Source organism: Homo sapiens, chromosome 2, assembly GCF_000001405.40.
Source record: "Homo sapiens chromosome 2, GRCh38.p14 Primary Assembly".
In the NCBI taxonomy this organism is placed as follows: Eukaryota; Metazoa; Chordata; class Mammalia; order Primates; family Hominidae; genus Homo; species Homo sapiens.
This window is the reverse complement of record NC_000002.12, coordinates 126,440,680-126,462,694: the sequence shown is the minus strand read 5'-3', so window position 1 is coordinate 126,462,694 and position 22,015 is coordinate 126,440,680. Positions and strand designations below refer to the sequence as shown.

The following is a 22,015-nucleotide window of genomic DNA, read 5'->3' as shown; positions in this document are numbered from 1 at the left end:
CTCTTCATCTGGATATTCTTTGTAATATCCTTTAAAATGAACGAGTAAATCTAAGAAAGTGCTTCCCTGAGTTCTGTGGCAGTTCTAGCAAATAATAGAACCTGAGGAGGGAGTTGTGGGAATCTCCAATTTATAGTGGATTGGCCAGAAGTACAGGTGACAACCTGAGACTGACTGACTTCCTTCCTTCCCTCCTTCCTTCCCTCCTTCCTTCCTTCCTTCCCTCCTTCCCTCCCTCCCTCCCTCCCTCCCTCCCTCCCTCCCTCCCTCCCTCCTTCCTTCCTTCCTTCCTTCCTTCCTTCCTTCCTTCCTTCCTGGCCAAAACAAGCCTCCTTCCTTTCTCCTGGGCAGCAGGGTAGAAACAGGACTAGTTAGTAAGCCTTCTGGTCCCAGCATGACTGGATGCATGCATAAATATGTGGCCAATTCCATTTTAATAGTATTGTGCTAAATCCAGCTGTACTAATGTAGACATGCTCCTATTTGCCAGTCCACACATATATCACACAGACAATATGTAGAATATGTAATTTCTATGAGAAAGGGACCTCAACTAAACACACTCACACTCACAGAGGAGCATGATCTAATCCTGACTCAGTAGCTCCTTCTTCATCCAGCTCTAGATAGGTCCTTTAGAGCATAAAATTGCTCCTTTACTCAGGGGAATAAAGTGCTGGTGTTCACAGTAGAAAAACCTGAAAGTGAGAAATACGTGGAAGCTGAAAACCAAAATGCTTCCCTGGTCTCAGGAAACAACAGTGGAAATAGCCTTTATGTCAAGTCCCTTATGCTGTTAAGTTGCAAGTTCCTCTGGGAAAGCACTGCATTGGTGGGCCTGAAGTGGTTGGTGAGTCTTCTTCCATTTCCAAATGGATCTCCGTTTTGTGGAAGAGCCATCCTGGTGGGCCATGCTGGCTGGGGTCTCACAGGCTGGGCTGGATCCTGGAAGTGATTTGTCATGCATGATGGGAGAAGCCCAGGTTGTTCTTGCAGGAGCAACATGTGGCTTATGACAGAGGAGTGAGTTTCAAGCAAAAAACAAAACAAAAAAAAAAAAAGGAGAGACAGAAGGGATTAGGTTTATCTGGGGAGACTTCTGACTTGCTGGATGCTACTGATGTCATTTGGGTAATCTAGAGACCAGACACAGAGCTGTGGGACATAATCACCACAGCGCTGATGGCCGTGTCTATCTGTCATTGAGTACCACCATATCCTAGCACATTCCATGTTCTGGCTCTTTTTAAGTCTCTCAACAACCTCAGAAGAGACAATCTGTAGGCATCATCATTAGCCATGTTTGATAGACCAGGGAAGTGGGCCACAGAGAGTGATTAATGAGCTCAAGGCTACACAGCAGATGATGGGCCGCATCCAGTGTCTGCTCATCATCATGCGTCTTGCTGCCCTCAAGTCACTCCTAGCAGTTGCCCAGGACTGTTTGTTCCCCGTTCCTATCCTCAGGTGTATCTGGGGTGTTTCCACCCTGGCCTCAGTCTCCCCTAACCAAACCATGACACTGGCCTCTGCTCCTCTGCGCTGGTCCCTGAAGCTTGTCTCTCCCCTGTAGATGCTGACTCTGTCTCCTCAAGGTCTTTGGACCCCATGTTTTCGTGGCTGGAATGAAACACACTCCAGCTCCAGCCCCATGGAAGCTGTTCCCAACCTTTCCACTCAGCTGGTCTCTGTCAGGATTGCTTGACTCCTGACCCAAGGGATGGGAGAACAGGAGTGGGAGGGGATGCCATGAAGGGAACCAGCATCAGGACTGGAAAAGGGACAGGCCAATGAGAGGGAAACGGGCTTCCTCTTATAAGATGCTGACCTCATGGTGCCCCAGTATATAAGTTAGGGAGAGGCAGGGTAGGGAACGGATGTGCATTTTAGCAAAGTGTGGTGCTGAGCAAGGCTGGTGGTTAACAGAATTTAGATGCTTTCCCGAGCAGAGATTCAATGTGCAGTGGATGAATAATAAAGCCACTGAACATCACAGGTCCACGAGAGGGTCAGGCAGGGAGAAACCAGAAAAGAAACCACAATGCAAGAGCACAGGGCCCCTTTTTCTCATATGGCTGGCTGCAAAGTGAATTAAATGAGAGCTGTTGCTTTTCAGCTAAGTAAATTAGTAACTTAACAATTTAACAGACACTAATTGACCATTATACTATGCTACTGTTTTGGGGAAAGTGCTAAACAGTTTAAGCCTATTTTTCCTTACTTGCAGAGCACTTAGCTCATTGAGTTATTTTCAGAATGGAAGGATGCTGCAAAGGATGATGAGTGTATCTAAGAGCCAAAGGGCAGTGGCTTCAGGAAGAGATGGTTCTAGAAGCTCAAACAATGTCCTTATAATTCTGACTATGTCTCCAAGATTTTTTTCCTCTATCTTTCTTAATCATTAGTCAGATTCTCTGTGTGTATGATACAAATGTTCACCAGTAGTTCAGGCTTATATCTTGCCAAATTAGGAATCTCCATGGAAAGAGATTTCTTTCCCAATAATTGCAGAAAAAATGGCCTTTTCTCTCCTTGGCATGAATTGGGTGGTGTGCCCAGGCCTGACCAATCACTGTGAACTGGAGAGACCACATCAGTGTCCTGTTTCTACCCTGCTGCCCAGGAGAAAGTTAACTCCACCCAATAAAGGATGATTCTCCCAAAGAAAATTGAGGTGCTGTTGTCAGGAAACCAGACAACAGATGTTGGGTAAGCAAATTAGCTGTGCTAACCCCAGTCATTATTACTGAGGGTTGGGATCCAGGTTTGGGTTTGGTCCAAAAGTTAAATCACACAGAACCTTTGGCATGAACAGATGCACAGTTGTGTAGAAGAGACTCACAATGAAACAAATCCATGCGATCTAGTCTTGCAGGTGCTGTGATACATGTGCATAAAGAGAGAGGCGCCAATGTGACCTGGGCGGGGACAGCCCTCTATAATGATGAGGTTCTCATTTATGGGTAGAAAGCCAAGGACACTGCATTCCCTGCATAGCCCACACTTTGGCTACCGTCTCTGCAATTTGGGTCCTGGATGGGACTCTGCACAGCATAAGCTCTGCAGCAATGGGAGTCAATGTGGCAATATTGAGAAGGATGGCAGACTCTGAGAATCACCTAAGAGCAGAGGAAACATGAATTGTCCTCTTACAAACTCCCTTAATAATAAAATAAATCAGCTGTATTGTTCAGTGATGAACTGTTCTGCTTTCTGGCCAGGGGGGCTCCAAAAGTTATTACTGGCTAACAATAGCTTGTTAAAGTTCTTGGGCACAGAAAAATCAAACTATGCAGGTCCTGGGAGAATCTGGTCACATAAAAGAGAGAATCCATTCCAAGCATGAGCTATTAGTTCTGCTCTGAATATCACCGTTATTAACCAAAGGGCTTTAGTGAAATCTCCAGCCTGCCAGAACCTCAATCCTCATCAACTGGTCAGGAAAATGACTGTGACAGGTGCTAATTGGTTATTATAGGAAAGAATACCTTTGAACTGGAAAAATGCTCCAGGTGCTAACTAGTCATGGCAACAGTGCTCCCCTGGGAGATAGATGCTCTTTGGAGGAATGAGTATACTCCTGTAGAAAATGGCCCTGATTCCTTCCTGTTGACTGATCTCTCTCCCTCTCTCCTTCTCTTCCTTTCCTCCTTACCCAATCCCAACCCTTCCCAGGGCTCTGTTTAAACCAGACCCTGACTACCTCCAGATTCCTCAACAGAGCTTTGGCTTTGAAGGATCTTATTCAGTTCCGAACTCTACCAGCACAAGCTCTATGAGTGACTTGGTCGGTCACCTAGTTTCTCTTTTGATTTAACCTTAAATCAAGCCTCAACCTTAAATTCAAATGGCATTTGAACTGCCACTGCAAAATACCAGTGTGGTGCTAGGGACACTGAGGTGTTTAAGCAATTCTAGTTCCTGCTTGTCCCTTTTCTTTTCTGTCCTGATGTTCAGATTGTCATTCCTGACTGGATGATGAATTGCAAAGTGCAACACAAAGACAAGGCAGCATTATTCATATTTACGATTATTGTTTTACTCATTGTGTAGCGTAGCACCTGGCTCACTGCAGACACTCCTTAAATAATTATCAAATGACTGTGGATGTCTTTTTCAATAATATCTGTCTTAAAGGCACTGCTAATTTCTTCCCTTAAGGAAGCTCTCAAAGATCTCTGTGCTCCACAGGTGTCTGCTCCTTCTGGGGCTTCCCATGTTGAATCTGTAGCTACTGCATTGTTTTGTTAGCATTGCTTGGTGTGCACTGTGTCTGTTTTCCCAGGACACACTGAGTAACTCTTTTTCTACAGCTTCTTGTCTCTGTCCTAGATGATGGTTTACTTATTGTCATCTACACATGAATGCATTTGTGTACTTTCTGTGACTTCTCTTGGGTTGGAAAATCCACGCTCTGTCGCCCAGCCTGGAGTGCAGTGGTGTGATCCTGGCTTACTGCAACTTCTGCCTCCTGGGTTTAAGCAATTCTCTGCCTCAGCCTCCTGAGTAGCTGGGATTACAGGCATGTGCCACCATGCCCAGTTAATTTTTTGTATTTTTAGAGAGACGGGGTTTCAACATCTTGGCCAGGCTGGTCTTGAACTCCTGACCTCGTGATCCACCCACCTTGGCCTCCCAAAGTGCTGGGATTACAGGCATGAGCCACTGTGCCTGGCCCTGAAAGCTGCTGCTTGATGAGGCTGTTGGTGAAGGTGATGATGATGGTGATGATGAGTGATGGGGAAGGGAGGGTGTTGGTTTGCAGAGAGAGTGGTGGGAAGCTGCCAAAGACCAATGACGAAGGGAAATTGAGATAATTCCAGGGGAGAGTAAGATGTTGGAGGCAGAGCCCATGTCAAAACTCATTAACTTTCTCAGCCTACTTCCTGCTGATAGAAAATTAGGGGACATTTTTACTTCTTACTATCCAATTTCTTATGCTTGTTTAATTGCCCCGGCATTCAAACAAGTAATGAAAGTGGGCATCCTTGCCTAGTTCCTGACCTTAGAGAATAAACTTTCAGTTTTTCATGATTAAGTATGATGTTAGCCTTTTCTGTATCTATTGAGATGATCATGACATTTTTGATCACATGATTTTGTTCTTCATTCTGTTAATATGGTGCATTGCATTCATTTATTTGTGTATTTTGACACATCCTAGTGTCCCAGAGAATGTTCTGTATGTGCTTGAGAAGGATGTGTATTCTGCTGCTGTTGAATAGAATGTTTTGGGTGTCTGTTAGGTTCATTTGGTCTATAGTTTTATTCAAGTCCACTATTTCCTTACTAATTTTCTGTCCAGATGAGCAACCCATTTTTGTAAGTAGGGTACTGAAGTCCCTCTGCTATTATTGTATTATTGCTTTACAAATTTAGGTGCTCCAGTGTTGGGTCCATATATATTTTCAGTTGTTATATCCTCTTGATGAATTGACCCCTTTATCTCTTGTGATAATTTTTGACTTAAAGTATATTTTGTCTGATGTAAATATAGCCACTCCTGACCTGTTTTGTTTATCATTTCCATGGAATATCTTTCCATATCCCTTCACTTTCAGCCTACATGTGTCTTGTTTACAGAGGACATTATCATATATATATATATGATATATATATAACTACATATATATGATATATATATCATCTATATATAATTCTAAAGTTTTCACCAAAAATCTGTTAGAACTAATAAACAAAACAAATACACTAAAGTCATGGGATACAAAATCAACATACAAAAATCATTTGCGTTTCTATACACTAACAATGAACTATCAAAAAATTAACAAAACCCCATTTATAATAGCATCAAAGAAGAATAAATACTTAGAAATAAATTTAACCAAGGCAGTGAAAGATTTGTAAACTGAAACCTTTAAAACATTAATAAAAGAAATAAAAGAAATTGAAGAGGGCACAAATAAATGGAAAGATATCCTGTGTTTATAGACCAAAATAATTAATATTGTTAAAATATACTAGGCAAAGTGATCAATGCAATCCCTATCAAAATTCTGCGGCAACTGCTGCTGATACCCAGGCAAACAGGGTCTGGAGTGGACCTCTAGCAAACTCCAATAGACCTGCAGCTGAGAGTCCTGTCTGTTAGAAGGAAAACTAACAAACAGAAAGGGCATCCACACCAAAAACCCATCTGTACATCACCATCATCAAAGACCAAAAGTAGATAAAACCACAAAGATGGGGAAAAACAGAGCAGAAAAACTGGAAACTCTAAAAAGCAGGGCACCTCTCCTCCTCCAAAGGAACGCAGTTCCTCACCAGCAATGGAATAAAGCTGGACGGAGAATGACTTTGACGAGTTGAGAGAAGAAGGCTTCAGACGATCAAACTACTCTGAGCTATGGGAGGAAATTCAAACCAAAGGCAAAGAAGTTGAAAACTTTGAAAAAAATTTAGAAGAATGTATAACTAGAATAACCAATACAGAGAAGTGCTTAAAGGAGCTGAAGGAGCTGAAAGCCAAGGCTCGAGAACTACGTGAAGAATGCAGAAGCCTCAGGAGCCGATGCGATCAACTGGAAGAAAGGGTATCAGTGATGGAAGATGAAATCAATGAAATGAAGCGAGAAGGGAAGTTTAGAGAAAAAAGAATAAAAAGAAATGAACAAAGCCTCCAAGAAATATGGGACTATGTGAAAAGACCAAATCTAAGTCTGACTGGTGTACCTGAAAGTGACGGGGAGAATGGAACCAAGTTGGAAAACACTCTGCAGGATATTATCCAGGAGAACTTCCCCAATCTAGCAAGGCAGGCCAACATTCAGATTCAGGAAATACAGAGAATTCCACAAAGATACTCCTCAAGAAGAGCAACTCCAAGACACATAATTGTCAGACTCACCAAAGTTGAAATGAAGGAAAAAATGGTAAGGGCAGCCAGAGAGAAAGGTCGGGTTACCCACAAAGGGAAGCCCATCAGACTAACAGCAGATCTCTCAGCAGAAACTCTACAAGCCAGAAGAGAGTGGGGGCCAATATTCAACATTCTTAAAGAAAAGAATTTTCAACCCGGAATTTCATATCCAGCCAAACTAAGCTTCATAAGTGAAGGAGAAATAAAATACTTTACAGACAAGCAAATGCTGAGAGATTTTGTCACCACCAGGCCTGCCCTAAAAGAGCTCCTGAAGGAAGTGCTAAACATGGAAAGGAACAACCGGTACCAGCCACTGCAAAATCATGCCAAATTGTAAAGACCGTCGAGGCTAGGAAGAAACTGCATCAACTAACCAGCAAAAGAACCAGCTAACATCATAACGACAGGATCAAATTCACACATAACAATATTAACTTTAAATGTAAATGGACTAAATGCTCCAATTAAAAGACACAGACTGGCAAATTGGATAAAGAGTCAAGACCCATCAGTGTGCTGTATTCAGGAAACCCATCTCACGTGCAGAGACACACATAGGCTCAAAATAAAAGGATGGAGGAAGATCTACCAAGCAAATGGAAAACAAAAAAAGGCAGGGGTTGCAATCCTAGTCTCTGATAAAACAGACTTTAAACCAACAAAGATCAAAAGAGACAAAGAAGGCTATTACATAATGGTAAAGGGATCAATTCAACAAGAAAAGCTAACTATCCTAAATATATATGCACCCAATACAGGAGCACCCAGATTCATAAAGCAAGTCCTGAGTGACCTACAAAGAGACTTAGACTCCCACACAATAATGGGAGGCTTTACAGCCTCACTGTCAACATTAGACAGATCAACAAGACAGAAAGTTAACAAGGATACCCAGGAATTGAACTCAGCTCTGCACCAGGTGGACCTAATAGACATCTACAGAACTCTCCACCCCAAATCAACAGAATATACATTTTTTTCAGCACCACATCACACCTATTCCAAAATTGGCCACATAGTTGGAAGTAAAGCTCTCCTCAGCAAATGTAAAAGAACAGAAATTACAACAAACTAACTCTCAGACCACAGTGCAATCAAACTAGAACTCAGGATTAAGAAACTCACTCAAAACCACTCAACTACATGGAAACTGAACAACCTGCTCCTGAATGACTACTGGGTACATAACGAAATGAAGGCAGAAATAAAAATGTTCTTTGAAACCAATGAGAAAAAAGACACAACATACCAGAATCTCTGGGACACATTCAAAGCTGTGTGTAGAGGGAAATTTATAGCACTAAATGCCCACAAGAGAAAGCAGGAAAGATCCAAACTTGACACCCTAACATCACAATTAAAAGAACTAAAAAAGCAAGAGCAAACACATTCAAAAGCTAGCAGAAGGCAAGAAATAACCAAAATCAGAGCAGAACTGAAGGAAATAGAGACACAAAAAACCCTTCAAAAAATTAATGAATCCAGGAGCTGGTTTTTTGAAAGGATCAACACAATTGACAGACTGCTAGCAAGAGTAATAAAGAAGAAAAGAGAGAAGAATCAAATAGACGCAATAAAAAATGATAAAGGGGATATCACCACTGATCGCACAGAAATACAAACTACCATCAGAGAATACTACAAACACCTCTACGCAAATAAACTAGAAAATCTAGAAGAAATGGATAAATTCCTCGACACATACACCCTCCCAAGACTAAACCAGGAAGAAGTTGAATCTCTGAATAGACCAATAACAGGATCTGAAATTGTGGCAGTAATCAATAGCTTACCAACCAAAAAGAGTACAGGACCAGATGGATTCACAGGCAAATTCTACCAGAGGTACAAGGAGGAACTGGTACCATTCCTTCTGTAACTATTCCAATCAATAGAAAAAGAGGCAATCCTCCCTAACTCATTTTATGAGGCCAGCATCATCCTGATACCAAAGCCAGGCAGAGACACAACAAAAAAAGAGAATTTTAGACCAATATCCTTGATGAACACTGATGCAAAAATCCTCGATAAAATACTGGCAAACCGAATCCAGCAGCACATCAAAAAGCTTATCCACCATGATCAAGTGGGCTTCATCCCTGGGATGCAAGGCTGGTTCAATATACGCAAATCAATAAATGTAATCCAGCATATAAACAGAACCAAAGACAAAAGCCACATGATTATCTCAATAGATGCAGAAAAGGTCTTTGACAAAATTCAACAACTCTTTATGCTAAAAACTCTCAATAAATTTGGTATCGATGGGACGTATCTCAAAATAATAAGAGCTATCTATGACAAACCCACAGCCAATATCATACTGAATGGGCAAAAACTGGAAGGATTCCCTTTGAAAACTGGCACAAGATAGGGATGCCCTCTCTCACCACTCCTATTCAACATAGTGTTGGAAGTTCTGGCCAGGGCAATTAGGCAGGAGAAGGAAATAAAGGGTATTCAATTAGGAAAAGAGGAAGTCAAATTGTCCCTGTTTGCAGATGACATGATTGTATATCTAGAAAACCCCATTGTCTCAGCCCAAAATCTCCTTAAGCTGATAAGCAACTTCAGCAAAGTCTCAGGATACAAAATCAATGTACAAAAATCACAAGCATTCTTATACACCAATAACAGACAAACAGAGAGCCAAATCATGAGTGAACTCCCATTCACAATTGCTTCAAAGAGAATAAAATACCTAGGAATCCAACTTGCAAGGGATGTGAAGGACCTCTTCAAGGAGAACTACAAACCACTGCTCAAGGAAATAAAAGAGGATACAAAGAAATGGAAGAACATTCCCTGCTCATGGGTAGGAAGAATCAATATTGTGAAAATGGCCATACTGCCCAAGGTAATTTATAGATTCAATACCATCCCCATCAAGCTACCAATAACTTCCTTCACAGAATTGGAAAAAACTACTTTAAAGTTCATATGGAACCAAAAAAGAGCCCACATCGCCAAGTCAATCCTAAGCCAAAAGAACAAAGCTTGGAGGCATCACGCTACCTGACTTCAAACTATACTACAAGGCTACAGTAACCAAAACAGCATGGTACTGGTACCAAAACAGAGATATAGATCAATGGAACAGAACGGAGCCCTCAGAAATAATGCCGCATATCTACAACTATCTGATCTTTGACAAATCTGAGAAAAACAAGCAATGGGGAAAGTATTCCCTATTTAATAAATGGTACTGGGAAAACTGGCTAGCCATATGTAGAAAGCTGAAACTGGATCCCTTCCTTACACCTTATACAAAAATTAATTCAAGAAGGATAAAAGACTTAAATGTTAGACCTAAAACCATAAAAACCCTAGAAGAAAACCTAGGCATTACCATTCAGGACATAGGCATGGGCAAGGACTTCATGTCTAAAACACCAAAAGCAATGGCCCCAAAAGCCAAAATTGACAAATGGGATCTAATTAAACTAAAGAGCTTCTGCACAGCAAAAGAGACTACCATCAGAGTGAACAGGCAACCTACAAAATGGGAGAAAATTTTCGCAGCCTACTCATCTGACAAAGGGCTAATATCCAGAATCTACAATGAACTCAAACAAATTTACAAGAAAAAAACAAACAACCCCATCAAAAAGTGGGCAAAGGACATGAACAGACACTTCTCAAAAGAAGACATTTATGCAGCCAAAAAACATATGAAAAAATGCTCACCATCACTGGCCATCAGAGAAATGCAAATCAAAACCACAATGAGATACCATCTCACACCAGTTAGAATGGCGATCATTAAAAAGCCGGGAAACAACAGGTGCTGGAGAGGATGTGGAGAAATAGGAACACTTTTACACTGTTGGTGGGACTGTAAACTAGTTCAACCATTGTGGAAGTCAGTGTGGTGATTCCTCAGGGATCTAGAACTAGAAATACCATTTGACCCAGCCATCCCATTACTGGGTATATACCCAAAGGACTATAAATCATGCTGCTATAAAGACACATGCACACGTATGTTTATTGTGGCACTATTCACAATAGCAAAGACTTGGAACCAACCCAAATGTCCAACAACGATAGACAGGATTAAGAAAATGTGGCACATATACACCATGGAATACTATGCAGCCATAAAAAATGATAAGTTCATGTCCTTTGTGGGGACATGGATGAAATTGGAAATCATCATTCTCAGTAAACTATCGCAAGGACAAAAAACCAAGCACCACATGTTCTCACTCAAAGGTGGGAATTGAACAATGAGAACACATGGACACAGGAAGGGGAACATCACACTCTGGCGACTGTTGTGGGGTGGGGGGAGGGGGGAGGGATAGCATTAGGAGATATACCTAATGCTAAATGATGAGTTAATGGGTGCAGCACACCAGCATGGCACATGTATACCTATGTAACTAACCTGCACATTGTGCACATGTACCCTAAAACTTAAAATATAATAACAATAATAATAAAAAATTTCAATGGCATTTTCCACAAGAAATAGGAAAACAATCTGAAAATTCATATGGAACCACAAAAGACTTCGAATAGTCAAAGCAAACTTGAACAAGAACAAAGCTGGAGGCATCACACTTCCTGAATTCAAAATACATTACAGCGGTATAGAATTCCTAGCAGAATGACACTGGCCAATAAAAGAGAAAAGCCAGCCCAGATATTTAATATAAATCCACACATTTATGATCAACTGATCTTTGACAAAGTTGCCAAGAATACAATGGGGAAGGGATAGTCTCCTTAATAAACAGTGTAGGGAAAATTGGATATCCACATGGAGGAGAATATACACAAATCTTCTTAAGATAAATTAAATACTTAAATGTAAGACCTGAAACTGTAAAATGGCTAGAAGAAAACATAGAGGAAAAGCTTCTTGACATTGCTCTGGGTAACAATTTTTTTTAATATGATCCTAAAAACACAGGTAACAAAAGCAAAAATAGACAAATGGGGTTGCATCAAACTAAAAAGCTTCTATACAGCAAAGGAAACAATTAACAAAGTCAAGAGACAACCTATAAAATAGGAGAAAATATTTGCAAACCATACATTGGTAAGTTAATATTCAATATACTTAATAATTTCAATTTAACAGCAAAAAAAAACGCACATTAAAAATAGGCAAGGGATTGAGCAGAAATTTCTCAAAAGAAGACACACAGATTGCCAACAGGTATATGAACAAAATGCTCAACATCCCTAATTACTAGGAAAAAGCAAATCAAAACCACAATGAGATATCACTTTATACCTGCTAGAATGGCTATTATCAAAAAGATGAAAGATAACAAGTGTCGGAGAAGGTCCAGAGAAAGGGAAACCCTTGAACACTGCTGATGGCAATAGATAAGTTAGGGGACAGGAGCCTTTTGGTATTTTGAGCAATTTCAGTTACTTTTTTGTCCAATCCAGTGGCCCTTTTCCTATTACAATGACCTTAACATTTTTCTGAATTTTCTTATAACAAGGTATTTGGTGACAAGCTATTTGCTAGACATGATATTAAATCCAGAAGTCTTCAACAAGTGCGTGTCCCTCAATATGTGCAGTAACTTTTGCAGATGAAACAGTTCTTTCTTGCAATACTATACCATACATATCTGGAACCAGCTGACACTACAACATTCTGTCTAGAGATCTGCTTAGCCAGATCAGAAAGCTTTAAGGTATGTGTGGTATTCCTCAATTTACTCCAGGTAACAGCTTTACAAACTGCTTTATGACACAACATGTGTTGCTCTTTTTCTAGTTGCCATAGCAGTTTCCTCATCAGTTTGATGACCACCATCAGTGGTGGCCATCACCAGCCACCACTGAGAATGTGCAGTTCTCTCTACCAGTTTCTCCAATGTGTTTCCAGACTCTATACATCTCCCAGTTGCATGGTTAACGCCCTGTGTTTGAGGGGGTTTTTTTTAACAGTAGCACTCTGTGTCTAGGTAGTTGCTCCTGTATCAGTTCCCTTTTGCTGCATTACAAACCACCCCACAACTCAGCAGCCTATCACAATAGCCACTTGTTTAGCTTACATATTTTGTTGGTTTCCTGGGCAGTTTTTCTGGTTCTCTCATGGGTCCGTGGTCAGCTGGTGGGTGGGCCAGTGAGTGGGTGGTCTAGGGTGGCCTCATGGGTCAGGCAGTTGGCTGAAATGATAAGGGTGACAGGGCAATACATTTATCATGTGCTTCCTCAAGCTTCTTCACTTGGTGGGAGGCAAAGCATCCCTGAAACAGTAAGAGGACAAATGTCACTGAGAAATTATTTTTCAAGCCTGTGCTTATATCAGGGTGACTGATGCTCCCTTGGCCAAAGCAAGTCATGTGGCCAACCCCAATTCAAGGGGTGGAGAAACAGACTCCACCTCTTGATGGGATAGGACAAAATAAGGCCAATTGTGGGCAGTTTTGTAATCTACAATAAAACCTTTGTCGATCCGGGTCAACATTCCAGCATTAAATCACTGTTCTGTGTGGCCTCAAGTTAAACATTGTACTAAAATCCACGTAACCAATGCAAAGAGGGAGGGAAAGAATATATTAAATTTCAAGTACTAGGTAATAATTATAACTAATTAAAAGTAAAATATACTTCTCTGTGTTAGTTCTTATTAGTTACATTATATTGGTTGCCTAATAATAAGGGCAGTAGGATATTTTGAGGAGTAGAGAAGAAGAAGCTTCACTCATTACTGTAAGTTTCCACACTCTTCTCTAAATCAGATGTCAAGTAGAAAAGAAGGAAAGTAGAAAGGATGGAATTATCCATTTGATGGGTGAAAATACTAAGCAGTCTTGACGGTTCATCTCTAGGCACATTGAGATGGGTTTAAATGTTCTTTAAACGAGTAGGAAGACTCAGAAATTCAGGAAAAAAGGAGTGAAGTGCCTTGCTTCATTCCATTCCAATTTAGTAAGAATCACCCTTCATACCTATTCACACTTGGCAGTTTACACAGCTCTTTACTTTCATTATCCTGTTTAACTTTCACAGTGCCCGGAGGTCATCTGGCAGAGTCTGTTATCTCTGTTTTAAAGATTGCCAGACTTGCCCAGCTACCAAGAAAATCACTGTGAGGGCAACGAGGCAATAGAGAGAAGAAAGCCTTCAGAGGGTATACGGAGGAGGTAGAGCAGAATGAAGTAAGAGCATCACTCAGAAGGTGGGGCATTACAAAATTCGGAAGTTGCTTGAAATAAGTTAATGCTTCAGAAACACTAGAACTGCGAGTACAAGAACAGGCTTTGGAGATCAGGGAGTTATCGATTGTTTTTCAGAAAGTGGTTGTCTTGGGGGCAAGAGGAACAAGGGAGATGAGGCCAGAAGTGAAAACACAGGAGGTGAAGGAGGTCAGGTAGCCACATGAGCTGTCAGATGCTACTGTGCAGGCTTCCCAAAGGCAGTAAATCGTGTCGGAACCCAGAATCCTGTATTTTTTTTTTAAAAAAAGGGAATGCTATGGCTTGGAAAGCTAGCTTTCTGGATATGTTAAAACAATTTAGTGGATTAATTGCATACATGCAAATAACATATTCACTTCAGTAAAGAGGTCATTTATAAATAAGCAGAAACAGGCTTTGCAAAATGAAAGTCAGAAAATGAGGGCAAACACTTTGCATCAGATTTAATGTGTAACAAGTAGTTTAGGTACAGGGTTTCACTTATTTACATTCTAATTTTTTTCATTCAGCAAATGTTTATTGAATGCCTACTATATGAAAGGACATTTATTAAGCATCAAGAATACACGGATGACTAAGATCTCCACACTCAAGTAGTTCATGGCTTGTGGCAGTGCTGTGTGATGGAAATAGAGAGCAAGGCACATATGCATTCCTAGGAACTTGCTAGTAACTCACAGCACATCACAATGGTACAGCCACATTTCAAGTGCACAATAGCTGTGTGTGGCTAGTGACCACCATACTGGACAGCACAGATCTTGGGAGAAACAACATGTAAAGCATTACCACGTAATATGAAAACCGCGGACAAAGCTTTCACAAGTTACAATAAAGGGAGACACCGGCCTTCAGAGGTATTTGTCTACCTATGTTTTAAGGCTTAGATTAATTGGAATGTTTAAGCCACAATTTCCTAGAAATCCCATTTATGCTTGAGCTGAAAAAAAAAACATGCTTGCATCTTTGGAATGAGAAATGCTTAATGCCACACTCTCTCTTTGAAGTTCAAAATGCATATTAATATATTAAAAGCTCTGAGAAGTCCTGCAGAAAAGACATGATTTTTAGTGCACTTACCCTGGAATTTACTCCAAGATATTGACAATGAAATACTCTCCACATATGTTTTAATACTTATAAATAATGATGAGAAATACTTCTGGAACAGCCTGTTTACAGAATTGAACTCTAGGTAATAGAATGATTTGGATAACTGAGAGTTCTGTTTCTACTCTGGTGAATGTTTTTTTCCTAAAATGTCGAGTTTGGCTTTCCCACCATGGGTGAGTCTATACATTAATCCTTCTATGACTGTACACCTACAACATATGCTTTCCTCTATCTAAAATGTCCTTCCTCTCTTTCCCCTCTCTCCTAGAAAAATTCCCTGTTATTGGATGGGCATGGTGGCTCATGCCTGTAATCCCAGCACTTTGGGTGGCCGAGGCAGGTGGATCACCTGAGATCGGGAGTTCGAGACCAGCCTGACTAACATGGAGAAACTCCATCTCTACTAAAAATACAAAATTACCTGGGCGTGGTGGCACATGCCTGTAATCCCAGCTACTCGGGAGGCTGAGGCAGGAGAATCGCTTGAACCCTGAAGGTGGAGGTTGTGGTGAGCTGAGATCGCACCATTGCACTTCAGCCTGGCAACAAGAGCAAAACTCAGTCTCAAAAAAAAAAAAAAAAAGAAAAAAATTCCCTGTTATTTTACCAGATGTGGTCCAAGTATAATGTCCTCAGAAGTCTTCCCTGATTACCCCAGGTGGAAGTAGTGTCTCCCTCCTCTGTGTGCTCAGAACAATTGCTGCAATTAGCTGAGGTCACATTTAATTTCCTAATGCACAGCAGGGGCCCAATCTTATCTATTTTTATATTTCCAGAAGCCGGTATATCGCCAGGCACATATTTGTATTGCCTAAATTTGTTATTTTTTTGCTTCCACTCACTATATACACCCCATTAATGAAGGGCACTCAGCTGGTTTTCTGCATCGGGAAATGTCTTGCTCCTTGCTTCCTCATCCTCTGTTCCAGCCCTGCATCACCGCAGGCCCTGGCAGGATGCATCAGGCAGTGTGGCCACCTGTGTTTCTGTGGCTTGGGCTCCAAATGCATTCTTTTGGCCTGGCCTGCCCCTCTGCCTCTTTCTCCTGGCTTGACTTTTAGCCTTCCAGTCCTGTGCAGGCTCCTGGGCTACCCTGGCTTCTTCAGCCCTGGCCATTGCTTGTGGTGCTGACCCTAATGAGGAATGGCTAAGGCCCTCTTCCACTCCAAGCCTTGCTTTCACCTTTGCAACCTGCCTGACCCTGAAGCCCCCTGGCCTGAGCCCCTGACCTGTAATTAACCTTTGCTCTCTGCCCTCAGGGTGCACATGGGTCTGATTGTCTCCTTCTCCCATTACTCAAACCCCAAGCCTGCTGTGACCACACACTGGTCAAACAATAAAACAGCTCAGAAACTAAGCCCCTCCTCAGTTCTGCAGTTCTCACTCAGTTCCGTCCCTGTGCCTGTGACTCTTACCTTGTCCTCATGCCCTTTAAACTGCCATCCAGCTACTTCCAAACCTTCCTCTGCTCGGGCACTGGGCCCACTTTTGCCTTCATTTGTACACCGCGGCCCCAGCCATAATTTCCTGCCCTCTGCTGTGTTCTCCTCCTCCCTTTCTCTTCCTCTGTTCCCATCCTGCCCTACTGCATGTACGGTGGTGAGCCACTTCCCATCTCGGAATGAGGTGGAGATTATATAGTAAATGGCCTTTTAAATTGTATCTTTTTGTTCATACAGTAGACCTGTCTTGGGGAACAGTCCCTGACAGCCCTGTTGAGTAGATTCAGATAAAAAAATCGGGAGATAAACACGTCCAATTATTTTTCTGTTTCGCATGCCTAACTTCATCACAAGGCAGGGCAAGGGGCTTTTGCATGCAGGCCTTTGTTTAATAGAAGCTGTGCATCATTGCTTCAGGGATGCATCATAACGCGATACCCTTTGGACCGCAATGTTATGGAAATGAGAATTGTTTAATTTACAGCCTTTCCTACATCGGCCTTGTAGATCTGAAAAATTAATTAACCAAATGTCATATTTTACTTCCCACAAAACTGGGTAGAGAATAAAAGACAAACCTTAATGGAAGAACCAGGGGCCCCTTCTACGTGGTAACATCTCAAAGTCCAGAGAGGAGGGGAGCACTGTGTGGCATCTTCACAGCTGCCACCGCTCACTACCCTCTCCCCCCAGGCTGGAGTGGAGCAGGGGCGGATGATCTGCAGCCAACAGGATGGCTGGTGTGGCATCCTGCCTCCCTCTATAGCTAGCTGCGGCAACACGCTCACCTCTGTGAGGTTCCATCTGCTGCTCATGAGGCAGGTACGTGGGTACTACCTACCTCATACATTTCCTGTAAGAATTTAATGAGAAGCATTGAAGCTCCTAGCCAGCAGGAGATCCCAACAGTATTCAATAACCACCTCCTGTTCCCTTTCTGCAAGTTTGCTTGGACCCAGGGACCACTTTTGACCCCATGGGCCCCCTCAGTGTGCTCCTAGCTCCTCTTCATCACTCTTTACCTCTGCTTATCATGCCAGGTTCAAGCGATTCTCCTGCCTCAGCCTCCCGAGTAGCTAGGATTACAGGCGCCTGCCACTCTGCCCAGCTAATTTTTGTATTTTTAGTAGAGACAGGTTTTGCCATGTTGGCCAGGCTGGTCTCAAACCCCTGACCTCAGGTGATCCACCCACCTCAGCCACCTCAGCCTACCAAAGTGCTGGGATTACAGGCATGAGCCACCATGCCCAGCCTAGCCTGTTTTCTCATATAGAAAATTGGCATGATACTCACTGGCTTGGGTACAAAATGAGATCACATTCTTCACAATACTCAAATGATTCATAATCGCCCCCACCCATTCTATTATGGGAATGTCATTCTCTGTCCTTATGATCCTCCCACTGGGCAACTTCAAGGCATCTACATGAGTTTACTTATTTCAAGAAGTCACCTCTGGTTCTTGTCACCTCCAAGGGAGGGAATGTAGTTGGCAGGCCATCCAGTTCTCTTGCCTATTGTGATGACCACACAGTGTCTCTGTTACCACCCAGGTGGTCTGGTTGTTCATGGGATCTTGTTTGTCCCTGCTGGATGACGATGGAAGCCTGGTGGCCAGGGAACCAGGTGCCATCTTTCTCCCCTACAGATAGGGCTGGGGAGCCTAAGGCTGCAGTTGGAGCTGGAAGTTGGGTCTGAACGAGGAAACCCTTTTCCACACTGTTAGATTATTCAGCTGGTGGTGTGCCACCACAGATCTTGGCTCCTGAAGGTACAACACGTTTGTGACCTAGCTTTTCTATTTCTTTTTACTTCCTATAAAACTATTTTCCTAAGGCATGGCCACGGTGTCAGAGTGGCTGGACTTGCAGAGTTTCCAATCCCAGACACTGAGGCTCTGCATCATTGCAATCTCTGGACCTCCTAGCCCAAATGCTGAAGATGTGCCAAATCCACTGCTTCTCGTTCCAGGATAAATAGCATTGGTCCAGGTGAAGATGTCATTATCTTGGGCTGAGACAGTGGCTTCCCTCCTGGAGATGCTGTGAGAGTTGAGAGATGCCTGGTACCCTGAAGAGTGTTGGCACTCTTCTTCCATTCTGCATCTCAGGACAAAGAAAGGCTTAGGTAAAAGACTCCATCTAAAAGAAACAGAGGGAGAATAAATTTTTAAAAATCGAGTTTGTTACCTGCAAGAAGACAGCAGGAAGGGGTGTGGGCTGGAAGGGTACAGGAGAGAATGACACTTTTCTGAGCGTAATTTTTATAATGTTTTGACATTTTAAAGGCTGATGATAAGCTACACACTCAACAATTAAAATAAAATCAATAAGAATGGAAAAAAGGCCAAACATGAAACAAAGAAAATGGAAACAAGTGAACTTAATTATAGTTAATGACTACCCTAAAAATACTGAAGGGGAAGAAAAACAAACAAGAAAAGAACTAATCCAAATAACTGGGTCACAGTATGTGACTGTATATCATGAATCTGGAGCAGGTGGGCTGTGTGTGTGTTCGCAGGGGGGCAGCACACAAATATTCTGTGCTCTTGAGTCGGTTGGTTGATTTTAGTTTTATGGAAAAAACAATTCTAGAGCTAGTTTAGATGTAATATAAGATTGAACAAGTGAGACACCGTGAGGCTGCTGGGAGCCAGTGTTCTCCATATAGAAGGGACATAAGAATGTGGATCGAGGCCGGGTGCGGTGGCTCAAGCCTGTAATCCTAACACTTTAGGAGGCCAGTGGATCACGAGGTCAAGAGATCGAGACCATCCTGGCCAACATGGTGAAACCCCGTCTCTACTAAAAACACAAAAATTAGCTGGGTATGGTGGCACGCACCTGTAGTCCCAGCTACTCGAGAGGCTGAGGCAGGAGAATCACCTGAACTCAGGAAGTGGAGGTTGCAGTGAGCCGAGATTGCACCACTGCACTCCAGCATGGCAACAGAGCGAGACTCCATCTAAAAAAAAAAAGAAAAAAAAGAATGTGGATCAAAATGGAAGGCATTGGTATGGACTCAGGATTTCTAAAATGTGTATGTTTAGGTGCACATACAAATACACACATGTGTATGCATGCATGAATGCATATTTGTATATGTCTGCATGCATATGTGTAAAAATATGTGGCTGTTTCCTATTTCTGTCTGCTCAAAGAGCCAAAAACAAAGCCATGCTAGCAACAATTAGCACATCTAATTATCAGATCTTGGTCTCTAATCCTATTCCCTTTAAAATGAAGCCGGGCCCAACAGAGAAATGTCTTGGCAAGGTAGGTGCAAAATGAGCTTGGAACATTTTGTATGCCAGAGAGTAAGAAGTGTTTAAAAAAATAATAATGATGGAGACATGTTACAGGGAAATATGATACAATTTGAAGAGTGTCTCACAGGCCAAATATGGGACAATTTTAGTATCAAATAATTGAGTGCCATAATGAATTACAAACCATTTAAAAGAGGAATTTACTAGTTAGCATAGATAGATAAATGATAGGTAGTTAGATAGATAGATAATAAATTATGGAGAGGATAGGCTGGGCACGGTGGCTCATACCTGTAATCTCAGCACTTTAGGAGGCCGTGGCAGGCAGATTACCTGAGGCCAGGAGTTCAAGACCAGCCTGGCCAACATGGTGAAACCCCATGTCTACTAAAAATACAAAAATTAGCCGGGTGTGGTGGCATGTACCTGTAGTCCCAGCTGCTTGAGAGGCTGAACCTGGTAGGTGGAGGCTGTAGTGAGCCAAGATCGTGCTACTGCACTCCAGCTTGGGTGACACAGTGAGACCCTGTCTCAAAAAAAACCCCCAAAATTGTAGGGAGGAATTATAATAGACCATGGAAGATAGTTGTTACATGTGTAGGTAATGATGGAGTTGAAAAAAAATCATTTTGTGATAGCATGATGAAGACTGCATCAGGCAAGAATCATGGATGGGTGCCAAAGGTAGGGAAGTTTTGATGATGGGCAGGATATTTCCATAAGATGTCTCCATATAAAGTACTTATTAGATGTTGCAAGGATAAAAACAATATACAGTGGAGAAATTGGGACATTCTTTGAGTGATCAAAATTAACATTACCTCTGAGAGACAGTTGGACCCACAGGTATGATACCATACAAGGAACATGACATCAACTTTTCAATATTTTAAGGATGCAAGACCTTAATATACAGGCATATCTCATTTTATTGTGCTTCACTTTATTGTACCCTGCAAATACTGCATATTTTACAAATTGAAGGTTTGTGGCAATTGTGTGTTGAGCAAGTCTATTGGTGTAATTTTTTGAACAGTTTATGCTCACTTGGTGTCTCTGTCTCACTTTGGAAATTCTTGCAATATTTCAAACTTTTTCATTATTATTATACCTTTTATGGTGATCTGTGATCAGTGATTTCTGATGGTACTATTGTAATTGCAAATGTAGTGGAAATAGCAAGAAAACTAGAATTATAAGTGGAGCCTAAAGATGTGACTGAATTGTCGCAATCTCATGATCAAATTTGAATGGATGAGGAGTTGCTTCTTATAGATGAGCAAAGAAAGTGGTTTCTTGAGATGAAATCTACCCCTGGTGAAGACACTGTGAACATTGTTGAAATGACAACAAGAGATTTAGAATATTACATAAACTTAGTTGATAAAGTAGTGGCAGGGCTTAAGAGAATTGACTTCAATTTTGAAAGAAGTTCTACTGTGGGTAAAATGCTATAAAAGGGCATCGCATGCTACAGAGGAATCTTTTGTGAAATGGATGCAGCAAACTTCATTGTTGTCTTATATTTTAAAATGGTCACAGCTACCCCAACCTTCAGTAACCACCACCCTGATCAGTCAGCAGCCATTAACATTGAGGCAAGACCCTCCACCTGCAAGAAGATTATGACTCGCTGAAGGCTCAGATGATCATTAGCATTTTTTAGCAATAAACTATTTTTAAAGTATGGCACATACGCTGTTTTTTAGACATAATGTGATTGCATACTTAATAGACTATAGTGTAGTGTAAGCAGCTTTTTTATGCATTGGGAAACCACAAAAATTGTGTGCCTTGCTCCATTACAATATTTGCTTTATTGCCATGGTCTGAAACCAAGCTCACAATATCTCCCAGGTATTCCTGCAATCATGAAGAAACATTAGACAAAGACAAAATGGGAAACACTGTATTTAAACCAAGAGGGGAGATTATACTCTTCGAAAATGACAATGTCATAAAAATCAAAGAAAAGTTATAGAAATGCCATAGATTAATGGAGGGCAAAGAGATGTGACAACTAAGGCTGCACTTGACCCAAGACCAGATTCTGCATCAGAGGCGAACAATCCTATACAGGACATTATTGGGTCAACTGACAAAATTAGATCAAAACAGTAGGCTGGATGAAAGT

The 22,015-nt window shown here is 41.6% G+C and overlaps 1 long non-coding RNA gene across 2 annotated transcripts; it reads right to left on the bottom strand.

Moving 5' to 3' along the window:
- Positions 1-746: 746 nt before the first annotated feature.
- Positions 747-18,718, bottom strand: LOC105373601 (uncharacterized). 2 transcript variants are annotated; one of them, XR_923302.1, is made up of 3 exons: positions 18,064-18,718; positions 12,907-13,020; positions 747-945 (listed from the first exon to the last, which is right to left on the bottom strand). It is a non-coding gene; the product is annotated as an uncharacterized LOC105373601 (long non-coding RNA). The 2 variants fall into 2 exon arrangements; XR_923303.1 differs by lacking the exon at positions 18,064-18,718 and adding an exon at positions 17,904-17,990.
- Positions 18,719-22,015: the final 3,297 nt, after the last annotated feature.